This window comes from Homo sapiens, chromosome 14, assembly GCF_000001405.40.
Source record: "Homo sapiens chromosome 14, GRCh38.p14 Primary Assembly".
Lineage (NCBI taxonomy): Eukaryota > Metazoa > Chordata > Mammalia > Primates > Hominidae > Homo > Homo sapiens.
Window position 1 is genome coordinate 51,445,277 of NC_000014.9, and position 20,567 is coordinate 51,465,843.

General features: G+C 41.4%; 1 protein-coding gene and 1 long non-coding RNA gene across 6 annotated transcripts in view; one reads left to right on the forward strand and one right to left on the reverse strand.

Annotated features, from left to right (window-relative positions):
• The window catches only part of FRMD6 (FERM domain containing 6), a 334,297-nt gene that overhangs the window by 48,846 nt on the left and 264,884 nt on the right, over window positions 1-20,567 (forward strand). The window lies entirely within an intron of this gene.
• Window positions 9,236-20,567, reverse strand: part of FRMD6-AS2 (FRMD6 antisense RNA 2) — a 145,441-nt gene continuing 134,109 nt past the window's right edge. The window contains exon 3 of the long non-coding RNA NR_051990.1: window positions 9,236-9,539. This is a non-coding gene — a long non-coding RNA (FRMD6 antisense RNA 2). The remainder of the gene's footprint in view (window positions 9,540-20,567) is intronic.

Genomic DNA, 20,567 nt, shown 5'->3' on the forward strand with positions numbered 1-20,567 from the left:
CTCCAGGAGAGTCGCCTGCCAGCTTCCCAAGTCTGAAGAGAACATTCCTCCCTCTTTCCTGATGTCATCAAAGCCAGTGGTTGGGTCTGGGTTGAGGAGTCTCGGTTTTTCCTCTTTTGTGACCTCAAAAATAAGTCCCCAGGTTTCCTAGTCCATGAGAAGAAGAGTGGAAGAAAAACCCCTGAAACAGAAGTGCAATTTTTTTTTTTTTTACAAACAAATCTCCATGATCATAAAGTTATACAATGTTAAAGCTAGATGATCAAGTAGCCAAACCGCCTGGCTTTGCAGTTGAGGAAACTGAGGTCCAAAAGGATTAGGAGACATGCTTAAAGATTTGATACCTGCTAACACCTCATCAGAGACACCTTACAATATCAAATGTAATAGGGAAAAAGTGAGAAAAGAATACCTTCCTAAGTGACATCATCTCCCCAAGTGCTACTCATCTTTGTGCCCTCAGCAGTTAGCACAGAGAAGGCTCTGTAAATGCTTTCAATGAGTATGAAAAAGTACCTAGCACAAGACTGTCTTATGTTGTAATTTTGCGTTTACCCATAATTAGCTCAATAAATATGTATTAAATTATTATGACAGCTAATGCTTCTTGCGTATACTACATAGCATGTTACATACCAGGTATTTTGCATGTATTGTAGGTATTTGCATACCTGTGTTGTAGATAACATCACTATCTCCGTTTCACAAATAAGGAGGCAGAAGCGTCGAGAGGTTTGGTACTTACCACTGTCACAGAACTGACAGTGATGGAGTTAAGATTCAAGCTCAGGGTGACTGGCTGCAGAGCCCATTCTTAGCTTCTACACTGTCTTGCAGAAATTAGTTGTATGCCTAGCACTGTGCTGGAGTTGTAGAAGATAGTCAGTTTTCTTAAGAAGTTTACATTTTCTGGGAAAAACATGATCTGCATCGCAGCAGAGCTTTGAGCTGGGGCAGTGGTAGAAGGAACCAGAGGAGTGACCGCGATGGTTTTCCCTGTGTTCTGGCTTCTCCTTTTCATCTTTGGGAAAATTTACCCTATAAATACTGAGAAAGTAGAGATAAGCTTGAAGATTCATAAGAGACTGCTGCTGCCCAAGAGTATATGAGGGAGCAAAGAAGGAAAATACATTGGCCCCAGAGGAGGGTAGTCCTTCTCTCTTGTGTAGACACACACACACACACACACACACACGGAAGTTGAGGTTGCCTGTATTGGGTTCTGGATTTCATAGTTTTCTAAGTCAGTCACACGTCCAGAGAAAGATGAGTTGGATGATTTGGAAACCAGACAATATGGTTGTCATTTTAGTTATTCTTTCAGAAGTAATTTAGTGAATGTCCATCATGTAGCCACTAGTACTCCAGACCTTGTGAATATTGGCAATGATCAATAAGAAATGGTCTTTGCCCTCAAGGTACTCTTGTGCATCACTAGTGAAGTTTACAGTGCAGTGAAATAAAACCTGTGATTGGGGTGAGGGCAGGTACTTTGCCAAATCCTGACCATATTAAAATGATTAGGGTGCAGTCATTTAAGGGGAAGACTGAAGCTCTTTTCCTTGGAGAAGACAGACATAGGAAGAAATGAGAGTTGACATCTTGGAGAGGAGATCCATCATGACGACCTAGGCTGTGAGCCTCTAGGTCCTGGGAGAGCTTGGGCAGGATGGGGATGGGCTTTGGTCACAGATGTTGTACAGGAAATTCCACAATGGCTGTGAGGAAGTACTGAATGACCTCAAAGATTCTTGGAGACTTCAATACTTTATAATACTCTGTCCCGATATGAGTGGGCAAATGCAGGCAGAGGTGTAGGACTCACAAGGAATCCTTTACAGCTCCTAACTCCTTGCATTTCCATGGCATGGAGTAGAAAAGCGTAAATGAGCAGAGGGCCTGCAGGGGTGCGGGGAGCAACAGCAAGGCCACTCTGGGGTGCGGGGAGATGTGGAGGGACTTGTAAAATGGTGTTTGACCTTCTCAGGCTTAGAATTCTACTAGGTCCCTGATGCCCTTGGAAAACACATTGATTGAATTCTGGAAGAGCTTTATCAGCCTTGAAGCTCCCATTTAGCTTACCTGTGTGCTGCCTGCTCCACTCATGGGAATCAGTGTTCTTCTATACAGTCCAGTGCACAAGCCTGAACACCAGGAAGACGTCGTACTTATGGGATGCAGTTATCAGAGGCATTCTATTGCCTGAACATACCATAGTATGTCCATGTGGACCTCTAGGCCTTTGCTCAGACTGCACCATCTGGAGCACCTCCCCTCAGGGCAGCAGTTACAAATGTGCAGACTGTGCCTTATGTAAGGCCACCAAGCTGAAGAGTCTGGAAGAATTGGCGTCTCGCCTACAGCCCACACTCTGGGCACCTTGGGTGGAACTGTGTTGGATTTGAGGTAGAGCCTTTTCCTCATTTAAACAAAGGGATCCTACCACTGGCTGCAGTCCTGTCTCCTCACTCCCCAGCTGTCTCAATCCTACTCACATCTGTTCCATTCCCCACCCCTCAACACCACCATCCATGCACGATTAATGCTCCTCCCTTAGCTTTCTCAAAGCACCTTACTTATAACTTTAAATCCCTATCATGGCCAAAATTATTTTCTTATTGCTTTGACGTCATATGATTCTAGCTTGGCAGTTATGTACTGTCTTGAAGATACTACTCCCCTGTCTTTTCTGGCTTAATGCTATCACAGAGAAGCTTGTATTGTTCTAATTGCTATTCCTTTGTAGGAAATGTGTCTTTTCTCTTTGGATACTTTTAAGATAATCTCTGTGTTTGGTGTTCACAGTCTCACCATGATGGATTGTTTGCAAATTTCCTTGTAGTTAATATATTTGGGATTTTTTGGAATTCCTAATGTTTGAGAAATCCTCAGTTATTATCTCTTTGAATATTATTTCTTGATCATTCTCTTTATCATCTCCTTCTGGATTTCCAATTATATAGATAGCATTCATTCTTACTGTATTCTCCATATGTCTTTAACCATTATAGCAAATATTTCCATTGCTTTATCTGTCTGGGTTGCATTCTGGATAATTTATTTGCATTCATGTTCCAGTTCACTAATCTATATTTAGGTGTGCATGTGTCTAATTCCATACATTAAAGTTGTAAGCTCCTTACAGTGAGGGACTGCATCTATTTCATCTTGGTTTCATGACTAGTACACAGCCGGTGATAAATAGTGTTTGCTGAAATGAATTTGTTGGCATGTCTGAGAAGCAATTGTTAAGCTGATCTTCCTGTGTAATCCGAGGTAGAAATATATGCTGAAATATAAGTTAGTTACCCATTGGCAAGGAAAGAGGGACCATGGTCATTTAGCGCTTACAGTAATGGCATATGGAACTGGTTGGCTTGTACTGCTCTGTCTGTAGTTCAAGGGCAGGTTAGGTCAGGCAGAAGCATGTGACACGTGTGTTCAAAAACCATGGCCAAGCCAGGGTCTCTCTTCTTCAAATAAAACTCCTAAATACCATCCCACTTATGCAATAAAACTTGGGGCAGGAAATGAAACATTTGAATTGGATACCTCCCCCAGCTCGTCGTGGGTATAATCTTGACATTCTCTCTCACTTAAAAATGCATGAAGGAAGGTTACCACCAAGGAAAAGGAGTTTGGTAAGCCTCAAAAAGCTTGTTCAGACTAGTCATGGTACCTCATCTCAGGCACCAGGTAAATGGGACAAGGGTAGGCAAACAATGCCTGCAGTCTGCCTTTAGAAAAACCTGATGCTGCTTGTAATCATGCAGCCCATCATGTTTCATTAAAATAGAGATTCATCTCTGCTGTTGTTACAGAGCAGATGTCTGACCCTCAGTTGCTGTACCCAGCTGCTGGTGGCCACAGTCATGCACAGGCAGGGTCACAGTCCAGAAAAGATATGCATGACTTCAGAGGGAGTTTCCTGGAGTGTTTTTGGCAAGAGGGAAAGGGATAGTGGGAAGGCCAAGCTCTCCCTGTGGCAGTCAGTGTCTGGCATTTAGCCATTCTTCAGTGGGAGGTTCTTCAGGAGAAACATGAAAATCAGTCTTCAGGGTAGTTCAACAAAAGAGCATGGTGGTGATTTTGAGATTCCACCCAATGAGAAAGGAATCTCAGTGCACAGTGGATTTTCCCATCACAGCTTATGGGATTATCAGGCTAATCTGCACCTTCTCTTGTCTGTCAGTGCTGCTGCAGAACAGTTCCAAAGCCACAAAGAAGGAGCTGGCCCACTGTTCCAGAGAAGGCCATCTGAAACAGCAGGAGGCCCTGGAGTCCCTCTTTGGCAATTCTGAATTGAGTATGTTGGGTGGTATCTGTAGTGATCCCAAAGAGTGTCACCAAATTCTCTCAATTAAATTAATTTTAATTAACTTTATTATTAATAAAAAATTATCAAAAAGCATATAGTAGCAGTATCTGATAGAGCCAAACATTCAAGAGTGACTGTGGAAGCCTGGAAGTCAGGAAGCTTGGCTGAATTAAATCCAATAAAACACAAACCCACAGCTGATGGTTCCTGGGTCCCACAGGAACCCCCCAGCTCTTGGGTCCACATAGGGGAACAGATGGCAGCACCAGTAGGTCATACTCTGATTTCCTCTGCCTAGAAATCTGCTCCTTTATCACAGCTGGGGATTTCAGCTATTCCTGATGGCAGCGATTTCCATCTGGGCCTGTGGTGAAAAATAAACTTTTCCTGAACCATTAAAATTCATAAAGCTGTTAACAGTTAAGATGTAAAAAGCTCTTGAGATGTCTCTGTGCATGTGATTGTTGTCTGTTTACTGTGAAAACAATCATACCTGTGGCAAAAATTCAATATACTTATAAAATTGAATCTCTCGTGTCAAGATCCTGTGACTTACTGCCACAGAGGTAAGAAGAAAATGAGATAGCAGTGAGGAAAGTGCTAGTTTGAAGATGATAATATCACTACCATCTTCTCTTAGAGCTCTTCAGGGAAAATGTAGGAAAGAAAATTTAAGATAAAATTCTTTGAGTTTCAAAAATTGAGGATAGGAATTACAGCATGAAAATTTAGATATTAGATAGAAATCTAGACAGAAAACCAGACCAGAATTTTTTGGGCAGTGTGGGTTTCTTGTTTACCCTAAACATTCTGGGGCAACCAAGTTGGTCTCTAAACCATCAGTTCACTATTTAAGGAAAAACAAATGCCTAGAAGCTCTTCCAAATGAAGCTCATTCAAAAGATTCTGCCAGCAGTTCCCCACCAGGGTCGAGGAGAGATGCAGGCTCCCAGTGAGATGTGGGCTAAGATGGTAACAGGTGCTCTCTCATGAGGTCAGCTACCACACAAAATAGGAATCTAACGTTTCCAGATATTTAGTTTTCTCAAGAGAATCTAGAATTTGGGATTTTTGTATGAGATCTCATGATTTTTAAACATTGATATATAAAAAAATAAAAAGCCATCATTTGGGCCAAACAAACCATGACTATGGGCTAGATTTGACCTGCTGGCCATCAGTTTGCACCTCAAATAGATAGATAAATTCCACAAATGTTTGTTGAGGTCTGTTTTATGCCAGGCATTGTCCTAGATGCTATGGACACAGAGGCAAGGAGAATGCTGTGTGTACTCCTGTGAACTTGGCAGCCCAGAGGAAAAGACTGACCTGTAAGGAGATCATCTGAGTGCACTGTGGAGGGTGATTTGGGTAACAGCTAACCCACCTGCAGAGTGGGCATGTCACAGAAGACCTCCTGCAGGTAATGACGTGGAGGAGTTGAGTCTTGAACCTCAGTTGAATCTTGAGGAATTTACCAGGTGACAAAGGGAGATGAGATAGAGATAGGACATGCCAGGAAAAGGTCACAGCAAGAGCTGAGGATAAGCAGTCTGGCCTGTGTAGATACCTACATAAAGCTCAATGCATGACACAGGTGAGGCCAGGGATAGGTGGACCATTGATATAGTTTGATATTTGTTCCTCCAAATCTCATGTTGAAATTTGATCCTCAATGTTGGAGGTGAGGCCTAGTGGGAGGTATATGGGTCGTGGGGACAGATATCTCATGAAGGGCTTTGTGCCATCCCAGCAGCAATGACTGAATTCTCACTCTATGCATATGTATATATATGTATGATAGAGTCTTGGTCTGTTACCCAGGCTGGAGTGCAGTGGTGTGAAGTCAGCTCACTGCAGCCTACACCTCTTGGGTTCAATTGATTCTCCTGCCTCAACCTCGCAAGCAGCTGAGACTTCAGACATGTGCCACCATGCCTGGGTAATTTTTTTTGTATATTTTTTTAGTAGACACAGGATTTTGCCATGTTGGCCAGGCTGGTCTTTAACTCCTGACCTCAAGTGATCTGCCCACCTCAGCCTCCCAAAGTGCTGGAGTTACAGGCGTGAGCCATCACACTTGGTCTCTCACTCTATTTAGTTCGCACAAGAGCTAATTGTTTAAAAGAGCTTGGCACCTCCCCCACTTCCTCTCTTGCCATGTGATGCCAGCTCCACTTTTCCTTTTGCCATGACTGGGATCTTCCTGAGGTCTTAACCAGAAGCAGATGCTTGTGCCATTTTTCCCGTACAACCTGCAGAATGGTGAGTTAAATAAATCTCTTTTCTTTATAAACTGCCCAGCTTTGGGTATCCCTTTATAGCAATGCAAAACAGATTAAGACACCCGTGGAGGACTTTGACATATCAACTTGTTTGGGCTTTATCCCAAGCAATGGGATGCCCATGGAATGCTTTAAGCAGGGCAGAGATGGGGTGAGATTGGTGTTTTAAAACTATTCTTTCAGCAGTTGAATACAGCATACATTGAAAAGGGATGAAAACTGACAGTAGAGAGAATACTCAGCAGGCTAGGGTAGCAAAACTGGCAAGAGATGATCAGAGCATGAGCGAGGGTTGGAAAGAAAAATGGGAATTTAATAACTATTTAGGAAATTAAATTAGCTGGACAGGCAGATGGAAGAAGAGGATGAAGGGGGCCGAGTCAAAGGTGACTAAGGTTCTAGGCCCAATGATGAGTGGATGGTGGCTAGAGAGACCATCTCCATTTGCCTGGATTGTGACAGTTTTAAGATTGAGAGTCCCACATCCTCAGAAGCCCTTCAGTCCTGGGAAAATGGGAATGGTTGGTCACTCTAGTGATGGTTTTCAAACTAACATGAGGAATAGTAGAAGAAGCTGTAAGTTTGGGATGTTGAGGAGATAATAAGTTTGATTTGGAGCATATTGACTGAGGTGCCAGTGGGCAACTAAGTTAGGATATCAAGAAGGCACTTGGAATGAGTCTATAGCTCAAGAACAGGAGGACTTTGACTTGGATAGAGTATATTTGGGAGCCACCAGCATAAACAGAAGTGGGTTAAGTCACCCAAGGAGTAGCATAAAAAGAGAAGTGAATCAAGAATTAAATGCTGCAGAATGAAACATTGGAAACTTCCATGTTTAAGGAGCATATCTAGAAAGAAGGGCCAGTGGAACAGGCTGAGATGGAACAGTCAGAGTGTAAGAAGGAAAGGCTGAAGACAGGGTGTTAGAAGGCATACGAGTAGAGTGTCTCAAAGCATGAGCAGTCATTAGGGTCAACGGCAAGGAAGATGTCCAGTACTTTGAGGAGAGAAGACGATGTCTCATCATCGGTAATCTTTGCAGAAACCCTCTCAGTGGTTTGATTGTGGGAGCCAGGTTGCTTCCAGGGAGAACGGAATGTGACTTGAGAAAATGGAGACAGTGAGTTCAGTCTAATCATCTGAGAAGCTTGAGGAAAAGGGAACAAGAGAGATAAAGCAAGAACCTGATGACCATGTAAAGTTAAGGGGCAGTAATTTAAGATGAGTGAGAACTGAACAAGCTTATAAACTGACAGGAAAAGCTGGTAAAAAAAAAAATAGAGAATTAAAGATGTGGTGCCCAAGAGAGGTGATTAATGCATCAGGGACCCTGGGGAGATAAAATGATAAGAGATGGATTCAAAACCAGAGAGGAGGATGTTGGCTTTGAGTCGGGGGCTGGCAGGGAGGATCCAACATACTCTGGGACTGTGGGAGGGAGGACAGGTTAGGGTGAGGTAGGGGAAGGAGCAAGAACAGCCTGAAATGGGAAGCTGTGAAGCAAAGAGCTGTGGTTAATGTCAGGCGGAGAAGACTGAGAAATGAGGAGATATTGATGGAAATGGTGGACATGAAGACACCCTCAGCCGCTACTTTTAAGAAGAATGATAATAGTCCAAGATTCAGAGTACTTTAAGGTACAGTGGATATACAGTTTTTGGAAAACTTTAGTAAATAGATATTTTGGAAGTGACTGACTGCATGCTATTTGATTGAGGGGATTATCAAATTATTCTCTTTAGAATTGAAGGACCTAAGTGATTAGCTTTGTCTCACACATGCATGCACACATACATACACGCATATGTGTGCACACACACAGACACACTCACCCCTTATATGTAAACAAGGTACAACCTGCTCAGACTCCAAAACAGGCATTAAAATACTAAAAGTATTGCTTTTAGACACAGTTAGGCTTGTTTTTAGACACAGTTAGTTTTTGCTAGGTGGGAGGCTGGTGTATAAATACAGAAAGGCAACGTCAAGCCATTTTTTTCCAATTAAAATTGTATACTCAGTTAGGTTGAGTTTAGAAATCACAGAGGAGCCATTCAAAGCCCACTGGAGACACATGCTTTAAGAGGAAATTACCAAAGGCGATGAAGCAGGGCTCTGCTCCGTGCCAGTCAGTGGGTGAAGCCACAGCAGCACAATGCCTACCAGAGAGAGCCGATGCCCCGCCAGCAGCCAGCAGGGAGGCCTCTATACGCTGCCTCCGTGAGTCATTCATTGAGAACAGCCTAATGCCTCCCTTGGCACAGGGAAATGCCATGGCATTTCATTAGCTCTGCTTATTTTGGTCAACAACTAGGAGCGGAGCCACGTACACAATGCTTTCCAGGGTATGTACTTTACCTTCTGGCTTTTAAAATGTTTTTAAACATAACTTTGCTCTGGCATAAAAGCAATGTATGTCCTTTGTAAACATTTTGGTCAATGCAGAAAAAATAGAACAAAGACCAAATTACCACTTCAGTGTCAACCACAGTTAACATTTTGGTGCATTTCCTTCTTGCCTTTCCTATGATGGGTTTCAGGATGAAGAGGACTGAGCTCTTCCCTCCTGAGAAGAGCAGATAATTCCAGGACAGGAAAAATTTCCTGGCAGATGAACCAAAATATCTGAGTTTGAATCACAGTCCCACCACTGCTTAGCCTATGGGTTTGGCAGCTGCCAACCTTCCTGAGGCTGCTTCCTGGTTTATGAGATGTTGGAATCTATTGTCAACCTCTAGTGCCTCTTCCAGCAGTCTGGTGTCATAGGCCTGTGATATTCTGCCTCCTCAGAAAGATGTGCTTTTGTTCACGAATTCTTCTTGAGCAGTTACAGCTCTTACTCCAAAACCCAGAGTCTTTGGAGCTGTGACTACAGGACTGCAAAGGAAGGGTCTTGGAATGATGTGATTACTCTCCATTCCCTTTGTTAGGTCCTATAATTAAAAAAAAAAATGAATGCACTGAATGAGGATGCATTTCAATGAAGAGCATATGTCAGAGGATCTAATGGCACAGGATTTATGATCATCCCATGAATTGAGCAAAGACAGTAGTTTGGTTCATTCTAGCGAATAATTAAATGTAAAGAATCAGGAGTTTTAAAAACCTGTTAAATAAACCTGGTTCAGAATTTCCCAAACTGTGTTCTCAGGACAAATAGGTAGTCTGTTGAGAGAGAGAGAGAGAGTGAGAGCGAGCCAGTGAGCAGTAGTCAAGTAAATTTAGAAAAGATGAGGTTAAATCAAGTGTAACAGTTTCTTTACTATAGGACTTCTTAGGACATTAAATATACTTAAATGCACCGGGAATCCCAAGGGGGATATAGAGTATGCCTCCTAAGCTAACCTGATTATGAAACTATTTTGTCAAGGCATACTAATTCACATCCCAAGAATTTAATTTTCCATAGAACACAGTTTGAGCAATACTGTTCTAGCTCCTTCTAGCAGTTCCCAAGGAAGTGATTTTCTTAAGGCACCATTATGGATCTTTCAATCATTATTCCTGACTGCTCTTGTCATTGTGGTGATATCTTGAGCTGAGTTTTTAAAGCCTATAAACTTCTTGACCTTGGATACTGTATTTATGGGTTTTGTAAATTCTTGCATTTGTCGGGCAGTTTTTATTTCCTCAAATATATAGTTGTCAGTGTTAACCTGTCCCGGACACTGAAGCAGCATTTTTAGCTCTGAGTTTTGCCATCATCAGTCTGTGTGATCTTGGGTGAGTCGCTTAACTTCTTTTGGTAGAGTCAGGTGACCTGGGCTAGGGTCCAAGAGCAGGAGAACACTGGGCAGAGAACAGCTTCAAACTCAGGGTTAATAGTCATAGAATTTAGGAAATTTGGAGGCAAAGCAAACGTCTGGGAATGAGAGGAGACAGCATAGAATTCTGGTATGGGGAGGAGGCAGTAAAGGGAGAGGTAAGGGAATTGGAACTCTCCATTGCCGAGGGCAGGCCTCCCTCTAAAAGCCAGATAGATGCAAAGATGGGGGAAGGTGAAGTTCAAGGTCAGCAGAGGCCTAGTCTTCAGGGGTAAGATTAAGGATTAAAATTTAGGAGAAGGTCTTGGACCTGTGCCTGATCTCCCTGTTATTTTCAGGCAGTGGGTGGGTGAAGCCTGCAGGATCAAAGGAGAGGAGCAGTTCCTTGCATCCAGACGCGGATAAAGTCTTAGGAAGCACTGGGCTTGAGGGGGCTCTGGGTGGGTGTTTGTTTCTGGCTGAATCATCATCCTGTGGGAATATTTCTTTTTCTCTTTTTTTCTTTTAAATTTTTTTTATTATACTTTAAGTTCTGGGATACATTCTGCAGAACTTGCAACATTGTTACATAGGTATACATGTGCCATGGTGGTTTGTTGCCCTTATCAACCCATCACCTACATTAGGTATTTCTCATAATGCCATCCCTCCCCTAGCCCCTCGCCCCCTGACAGGCCCCAGTGTGTGATGTTCCCCTCCCTGTGTCCATGTGTTCTCGTTGTTCAACTCCCAATTATGAGTGAGAACATATGGTGTTTGGTTTTCTGTTCTTGTGTTAGTTTGCTGAGAATGATGGTTTCTAGCTTCATCCATGTCCCTGCAAAGGACATGAACTCATCCTTTTTTTACAGCTGCATAGTATTCCATGGTGTATATATGCCACATTTTCTTTATCCAGTCTATCATTGATGGGCATTTCTCTAATGACCAGTGATGATGAACTTTTTTTTCATTTGTTTGTTGGCTGCATAAATGTCTTCTTCTGAGAAGTGTCTGTTCATATCCAGCAATGCTCCAAAACTGAAATCAGTATATTGAAGAGAGATCTCCACTCCCGCATTTATGCAGCACTACTCACAATAGCCAAGATACAGAATCAACTTAAGTGTCCATCAATGGAAAATGGATAAAGAAAATGTGGCATATATACACAATGGAGTACTACTGAGCCAGAAAAAGGATGAAATTCTGTTCTTTGCAGAAACATGGATGACCCTGGAGGACATTAAGTAAAATAAGCTAGGCATCAAAAGATAAATACTGCATGTTCACAGTGATATATGGAATCTAAAAAAGTTGATCTCATACAAGTAGAATGGTGGTTACTAGAGGCTAGGGAGAGCAAGAGAGAGGAAAATGAGGAAATATTGGCCCATAGGCAAAAAGTTACAGTTAGGCAGAAGGAATATATTCTAGTGCACAGCAGTGTGACTATGGTTAATAATGTTGTATTGTGTATTTCAAAATAGCCAGAAGAGAGAATTTAGAATATTCTCACCACAAAGAAATAATAAATGTATGATATGATGAATATGTTAAATCCCCTAATTTGATTATTACACAATGTAAACATGTATCAAAGCATCACAATATATCCCATCCACATGTACAATTATTGTGTCAGTTAAAAACAAAATTAAAAAGAGAATTGAAAACATAGGCAATAACAAATAAAAGCTGGAAATCATCAAGTATATGATGACTAGAAAAAAAAACAACAAAACAAGAAGAAAAACGAACCAATGACAGAAGGGTGGGTGCTGTGGTTGATGAAGCATTTTTATAAAAAGTAGATATGGGAAGCTACGAGTCCCTGTGATTTCAGGTCCTTGCTTTGTAATCTTATTTTCCATTTGAAGCTAATGATGTGGCAAAGAGTTAGAGAAATGTCCCCCATTTTTCCTGCAGATGATCCTCCTGAACATCCACCATTCCTAAATATTACACCTGAGCTGTGCTTTCTAAGATGCCCCAGTTATACAAGTGTTAGGTGTAGGTTCCAGGTATTAGAAACTGAGCAGGTCACATGGTAGCACTTCGCTGTAATTGGGTGAAGGGTCTAATCAATAGGTCAGAGAATATTATTTATGGGAACTTTCAGTAGAGCAAAATGATTGGCTTATAAAAAGCATATTGCATGGAGCACCTTGAGAGAGTATGTGTTAGGAGGCTGTGACGGTGTGTTTTCATCTTTGCATTCCTAGCACCTATTGCATGAATGCCTTAACATAGAATGGATGTTTACTAATGGGGAACACATGGATCAAATCATTAATATTTAGTGAATCCTGGTAGTAGAAGAGGATCTTGAGAACTCAACCTGTGCCTGCTCTGAGATCAGCTTGGGTTCTGACATGATTGTTTGTTTATTAACCTTTTTAAGGTGCCTTGGAATGTGGGCCAGATAAAGGAGGTAAAAAGCAGACTTGCATTCCATGTGAATAACTTGATTCCTTTGTTTCCAAAATTCAGTGGTTCACTCTTTAACCTATGTGGCTTTGTATGTTGTCATTTTTAATGATTTTTGAAGAGTAGAAGAGAGTTGTGTTGATATGATACGAGAGATCAATACCAGTTATTAACTGTTCCTTTTTCTTGCATGGCCCCTTTCCCATCTCCTCTCACCCCTACCCCAATCTCTTATCAGTCCAAGGAAATGTTTGCCCAATGACTGATTAGATTTTCACAGTAAATTGCATTTTTGGGAGATGATCCTGATAGCATGTTCACAGCTTCCATGGAAGGTTTTGAGGTTATGTGTCTTATCTTCAAGCTGTTCAGTGTCTTTATGCAGCATTTTATCTCCAAGGGTTTTTGTTGTGTTTTAAATGGGTTAAGTCCTTTGAAGTTTGATAGACAGTCCTTTCTGGGTCTTCCTAAATTCAGTGAATTCCTCAATACTATCTCTACAGACCATTAGTGATGCAGTTCCAGAACCAATTGGCTGTTTGATTATTTATAACTAGGAAAACTAGAAGATAAGCAAAGTGAAAATGAAGAATTGAAAGGGCACCTGGACTGTGTTCTAGTCTGCAACCTGATTATTTTGGTTGGACTGGTGTTGGGGTGAGCAAAGGGTGAATCATGGTGTCCAGTCATTTCCAGTATGACCAACTGTGGATTTTGCTTCACAAGCCATGATGTACTCTAGGTCTTAGTGATGAGACGTCTGCAGCTGCTTAAGCTGTGTAGAGGGCTGGTGATGGAAATGAAGGAGGGTACTTACTAAAACACTCAAGTTCACTGGTACTGGAAGCAAGGCTGTGACTTAGTGGCTTGGGCTGCCAGAAAGAATGAGAGAGCTTCCTCGAATTAGCAGAGATGGCAGAGGTTGTCTGGACTAACAACCCCATCCCTCCTCCTTCGTATCTGTCAGAAGCGTACGGAGCATCGGAGATGCACACGGCAGCGTAGTGAAGTGCTGAACGGTGCTAGCAGCTAGTTAAATAGTTCTCCCCTTAGATTGACCCTTAGATCTATTTACCTATAACTGAAATCCACTGGTTTTACTTCTGTTCTCTGTAGCAACAAAGCGCAAAAATCACTTTCTCTGACAAGGTCTCATGCTGTTCAGTCATTTGCTATTTTTTCTAACTCTTCTAATCTCTCAAAGATGACCATTGGTGTCTCTGAAATTCCTGTAGGCCCTGGAATCCAATTCACATGGGCCTGGATTCTTGAGGCCACTTGAAATGACTAGGCCCTCCCTCACTAACTTCTTGCCTATCCGGCACTGAAATTTCCTCTTTACATGGTTTGTTCAAAACCCTCTTTAGGTTAAGCACCAGATTTTCTTTTGACTAGCACAGAGGTAGAACAGTCACTGGGGATTTCTGCTTTCTCTCTTCCCTTTCCCAAGCAATACTCTTTGCTTTTCTCCTTGTTTCAATTATACCTTAAAAAAGCTGACGCTGGCGACGCCTGTAATCCCAGCACTTTGAGAGGCCGAGGTGGGCGGATCACGAGGTCAGGAGATTGAGACCATCCTGGCTAACATGGCGAAACCCCGTCTCCACTAAAAATACAAAAAAATAGCCGGGCGTGGTGGCGGGTGCCTGTAGTCCCAGCTGCTCGGGAGGCTGAGGCAGGAGAATGGTGTGAACCCGGGAGGCGGAGCTTGCAGTGAGCCAAGATCATGCCAAGGCACTCCAGCCTGGGCGACAGAGCAAGACTCCATTTCAAAAAAAAAAAAAAAAAAAAAGCTGACGCATACAGCTGACTTAAAATTACTGACTCTCTTTTTTTTTTTTTTTTTTTTACAAACTTCGGCTATGGCTAATCTTTTGGCCTTCCTGATACTATTGTGATAAGTTCTTGCTAAACGAAGTAAAACGGTACTCTTTATTTAATTACTATTTCCGTTAATACAATCTTGCATCCCAGTTTTGTCACTTGATATCATATCATGAAATCTTTCCAAGTCATTAGAATTTATTCATGTATAATGTGTTTATTCATTCAACAAATATTTATTGAACAGCTGCTATATGCCAGAAATTATAACATGTGTTGGGAATATGTTGGAGAAAACAGTTAGAAACAGGGCCTTGTATTAGAAATACATTAAATAATTACACAGATGTTTATTTAGTCAAGGAAACACACATGAACCACGAGAGGGAACTGTTGGGGGAACTTGACCTTGTCTGGTATGTAAGAAAGAGGAGCTTCCCTGAGGAGCATGGAACATAATTTGCTCTACATTCTTCCCATTCAGGGACTTTGCATTGTTTCTAGTCTTTGGTTATTTTCAATATACCTACAATTAACACTTATGTGCATGCATGCTTTTATTTCCATAAAATAGATTCCTAAAAGTATAATTACTGACTCCCTCTGTGCATAAGTAATGTTTCCTTAAGGTAGTTTCCTAAAAATATAATTACAGGGTCAAGGACGTGAACATTTTATGGCTCTTGATACATATTTTTTAAAGCTTTCTAAAAAATCAGCAGAGTTTTAAAGCTAGCAAAGGGTCTTGGACCACCACATCTCAAACCACCTTCATAGAAACATCAGGTTGATTTCAAGAAATCAGTTAAATTATTAGTAAGAGCAAGTGATATGTTTCCTGTACATGTTCTCAACTGGAACTAATCAAGGTGTAGTCCTCTGGAGTAGATCCTGAAGATGTTGATTAGTGGTCTGTGAAAAGTACAAAGATTGAGAACTAAGCATTTTAAAACTGTGGTAATAAGATAAAGTGATTTTATGTTAAAAAATCTGGATATGTATATTGTATGTTCCTTTTTCATTTTTCTTTTAGTAATTTATTTCTGTAAACATTAGAAGTATTGGCTTATGACGGAGTGAGAGGAAAAAACAAGTCCTTCCCTACATATAGTTTATATAAAAGATAGTGGAAACCCCTTGGTCAAATTTGCTTTTATAGATCCAAAGAGCCACAAAGGGAAACCAATGGGATTAGCAGATTTTGACTACAGACATGTGTACTTGAGTTAAGCCACACAAGAGCTGTGTATATCTTTCCCAGAAAGATAAAGCACACCTATTACAACAAATGAGACATGTGCTATTTAAAGAATTTCTGTGAGAAATTTCTCAGTCCAGGAATTACAGTTGTCTGCAGTTTAATTTTTGCTCTTAGACTACAGCAAGGTACTTGACCATTGAACTTGCCTATGATCAGACAAGAGAATGATGATTAGATGCTACCACTGCCAGTTATTTCTTCCAGAGGAAGTAATAAAAGGTGCCAAAAAATTTCCACCTCTGAAACCTTCCACCAATTGTGTCCATAAAGTTTAGCTATAAGTTAAAGGCTACTTCCTTTGTGTTCCTATTCCCAATAACAGAGATCAGAACTATTCAGACATTTGATAGGAAGAAGAAATCTCACCAGTCAAATGCTGAAACCACTATGAATAATACCTGAATGTCAATTAGGACTATACTGAATAAAAAATACAAGGAGTTACTGGTCTTTTGATGTCCTTCAAAAATTAAAAAACTTAGCTCAGAGAAAGGCCTCATCCATAATATTGGTGAGGGCCCCAACAGGTGAGAACCATGTTTTCCTAAAAACTCTGCCTGCCACCAATTTGCTGGTCAATGTAAGAATCAAGCAATTTTCTTTGCTCATTTTGAATAGAGATGGAAGGTAGTGATGAATTGGAGAGAGTAGATTCTGAGGTCAGACTGCCTGGGTTTAAATCCTAGAGTCTACATGTTACTAGCCAGCTGGTGGGTGTTACTTCTGTCTCAGTATCTCAGTTTTCTCACCCACATATTGGAGATAACAGTAAAGAGAAAATGCATGCAAGGTGCTTAGCACACAGCAGGCACTCAATAAATGTTAGCTGTTCTTATTCTTGTAATAAAACTTATCAGAAGAAATTCCTTAGGAAGGGAGAAAGGGAGGGAGGGAAGGAGGAAGAGAGGAAGGAAGGAAAGAAAGAAGGAAGCAAGGAAAGAAGGAAGAAAAGAAAGAAAGAAGGAAGGAAAGAGAAGAAACATCTTTTAAAAAGCAGTGGGACTAATTTTTCCTGTGAGATGTTGGAGAAGAGTGTGGGATTGGATCCAGTGGACTCTGGCTCTGGTCCTGGCTTTGCCATTTACTAAGTGTGTGATCCAGTCATGTGACATTGCTGAGCCTGAGATCCTCTTCTCTTTTGTAAATGGGATGATGTCAATAATACCTGCCTCGGGGGGTTGTGAATACAAATGAGTGGATGTATGGGAGATGCTGTGTACGTGGTAAGAAATTATATGGGTGTGGTTCACCTGCTCCCAACTCTTCCTTTGGTGAGACTGTGCTTCCTGCTTGTGCCTGCTTGAACTGGCTCCTGGTGTAGGCAGGCCCTTGCTGAGTTTAGGACTCGGGCTTTCCCCTTCTTCTGGGCTTCTGTGCAGCAATTATTCACTGAGACCAAATGGGTAGACCCCACCTTTCTGGTTCCTGGTAATCAAGAGGTGAGGGTTCCTGCTGGATATTAGTGTATGTGTCTCCAGAATTGCTCCATCAGAATCCTGTACCTGTAGATAAGGAAAGGCTTGGTCTTGGGCCATTCTGCATTTGTTCATAAGATTAAGCTTCTTTGGAAGTTGAATTGTGAAGACCCATAAGATCAAGTGTCAAAATAAAATAAAGAGAAGGGAGGAAGAAAATAAGGGAGGAAGAGAGAGAGAGAGAGAGAGATAAAGGGAGAGAGAGAAAGGGAGAAGGGTGACTCACAGATGAAGAAATGAACTAAAAACCCAGAGGCTGAGAGTTCTAATCCTCTCTGTGCCACAACTTGTTATGTGACATTAAGCAAGTAACTGAATCACTTGGTGGCTTCATTTCCTTGTCTGTACAATGTGGTATGACAGTACTAACCACCCTTGCTAGATTGTTATAAAAATAAAATAAGCATTTGCCATGTATAGATATTCCAGCTATACACTCCTTCCTTGACTCTGTGGTTTGAGGAAGGTTGAAAACATGAAAAGGACAACTTTCCCTATCGCATTCAACCAGGTTAACTAGAAAAGAATATTTTGCTCTTCTTGTCATGAATTTTCTCAATTTCACTCAGGTAGCCATTCACTAAGTAGCATTAATCTACTGACTGAAAGTATTTGCTTTTTCTGGCCCTAAAGGACATGCTGTTTTCAAATCAAGAATTGGTCAAGTCTGTGATATAAAGTGGCATAGTATTTGCATATTACCTATGCACATCCTCCCATATGCTTTAAATCATCTCTAGATTACTTATAATACCTACACATCACTTAATTTGTATGGATTCAGTGTAGTACTTGGTGCATAGCAAATTCAAGTTTTGCTTTTTGGAACTTTGTGGAATTTTTCCCCCAGAAAATTTTCAATTTGCAGTTGGTTAAATCCATGGATTCAGAACCCATGAATATGGAGGGCCAATTGTAAATGCCCAGAACATATCCACAGGAAAGGCCCTGGGAAGCTCTAGAGAGCACAGAACAGGAAGTAGAATTGGCAAGGCCAGAACCTCTTAGGAACTGTCTTACTTAAAACAGGTTCCAGTGAGCACGCTACATGCAGACAGGCTCCAGTGCCTCTGACACCTGGCACTCTACCAGACACATTGTAGGCCTTCATGGAAGATGTATTGAGTACTTACCCACAACAGTTTTTTGCATGTCAATATTAAAATACAGTTATAAATGTTTTCCTGAGTTTTTCTTTTCTGTTTTTGGGGGTGATGGAGGGGACAGGGTCTTACTCCATTGCTCAGGCTGGAGTGCAGTGGCATGATCACCACTCCCTGCAGCCTTAGCCTCCTGAGCTCAGATAATTCTCCCACCTCAGTCTCTCTGGTAGGTGGGACTACAGGCGTGCACTACCATGTGTGGCTAGTTCGTTTTAGAGACGGGGTTTCGCTATGTTGCCCAGGCTGGTTTCCAATTGCTAGGCTCAAGCTATCCTCCTACCTTGGCCACCCAAAGTGTGGGGATTACAGGTGTGAGCCACTGCACTGGTCTGAGGTTTTAAAGAGTGCAGTTGTACTCATATTTATCTCTGCTCCAACCTAAAACTCAACTCTAAAGATAGTGAAGGAATAAAATATTCCAGCACAATGAGAACAGCAAAAGAAACAGCAGAGGAGGTGGTGTGGGGAGAGAGAGCATCAGGAAGAAGAGCTAATGGGTGCTGGGCTTAATATCTAGGTGATGGGATGATCTGTGCAGCAAACCACCATGGCACACATTTACCTATGTAAGAAACCTGCACATCCTGCACAGGTACCCCTGAACTTAAAAGGTGAAGGAAAAAAAAAAATCAGAGGAGAGGTAATAAATTTCTGGAAGACAAAAAACAGATGAAGTGGTCCCTAACTTAGAACAGAGCAGAATGTATGCTAAAGCCAACTAACTCGTGCAGGAGAACTCTCCAGTTATTTCTCCAGGTATTTCTGAAGGCGGGGATGGGGTAGAGCTGAGAACAGGAGAACTGGGTTAGCAAAAACTACCGCCACTCGTGCCCTGTTACTCTGGGCAACAAGAAAACTGGCCTTCTCCATAATAGTGAAAGATGGATACCCACTGCAGGAGGTGTTGTCCGAGGGGCTCAGTTCTGGGACTTCCAGACAGAACGTAGAGTGGTAGTGAGGTCAGGGGTCTGTAAACAGGAAGGAAGAGCTGCATACTCAATGGTGAGGTCTCTTACCCATCTTGGCCCCCAGAATGCTGCCAGCCAGGTATATATACCTGAAGCAGGGGGCTGGAGGGTTGCTCTGTAGGGGAACGGACAAGCCCAAGAGAAATTGCATGCAGAAACTGAAATTTAGGAGCCCTCCAGCATTAAAAACTGGATCTCTGCTAGATCAACAATCTATGAAATAATTCAAGGGAATTATGAAGCTCATTCCCTGCCACATATACAGGCTTCCAATCAGCCAAGAACCACCAGAAATTAAAAGAATGGCTCTTAATATCAAAAAAGGAACCAAAATAACAACAAAAAGGAAAAACAGATAATGCAAGGGACAGGTGGAAAATAGAAAGAAAAATGTAATGAACATTCTTAGAAAATTAACACAGATATTATGTCATGAGACAAAAAACGATAATGCTATTTTTAGGTTTACTAGAATGATTGTTTCTGTTTGTGTTTAGTTTTACTAATAAGTTTACTGAAAAAAATTTTATTGAGCCATAACTCATGAACAATAAACTGCATATATTTAAAATGTACCATTAGATGAGTTTTGACATTTGTATGCATGCAAGCAACCACCATAACAATCAAGGAAGTGTACATTTCTATCAGTCTCAAAAGAGCCCTTCTAAACCTTCACAGCCCCTCCAACCTCCCTCCCCCCGCCATCTCTAGGTAACCATAGTTTGTTTTCTGCAACTACAAATTGATTTGCAATTTATAGAATTCTAAATAAGTAGAATTTAAATAAGCATAGTCATCATGCTCAGTTAAAGAAGCCAGACAAAAAAAGAGTTTTCATTATATAATTCCATTGAGTATCATCCATGGTGTTGCATGTATCAAGAGTTTGTTCCTTTTTGTTGCTGGGTAGTATTCTATTGCATGGATATACCACTATTTGTGCAGTCACGTGATGATGGACATTTAGGTTGTTTCTCATTTTGGGCAAATATAAAATAAAGTTGCAATGAACATGTGCAAGTCTTTGTGCAAACATGTTTTCTTTTTTTTTTTATTGGCAAATACTGTATCTAAGAAGAGAATGGCTAGTTGGT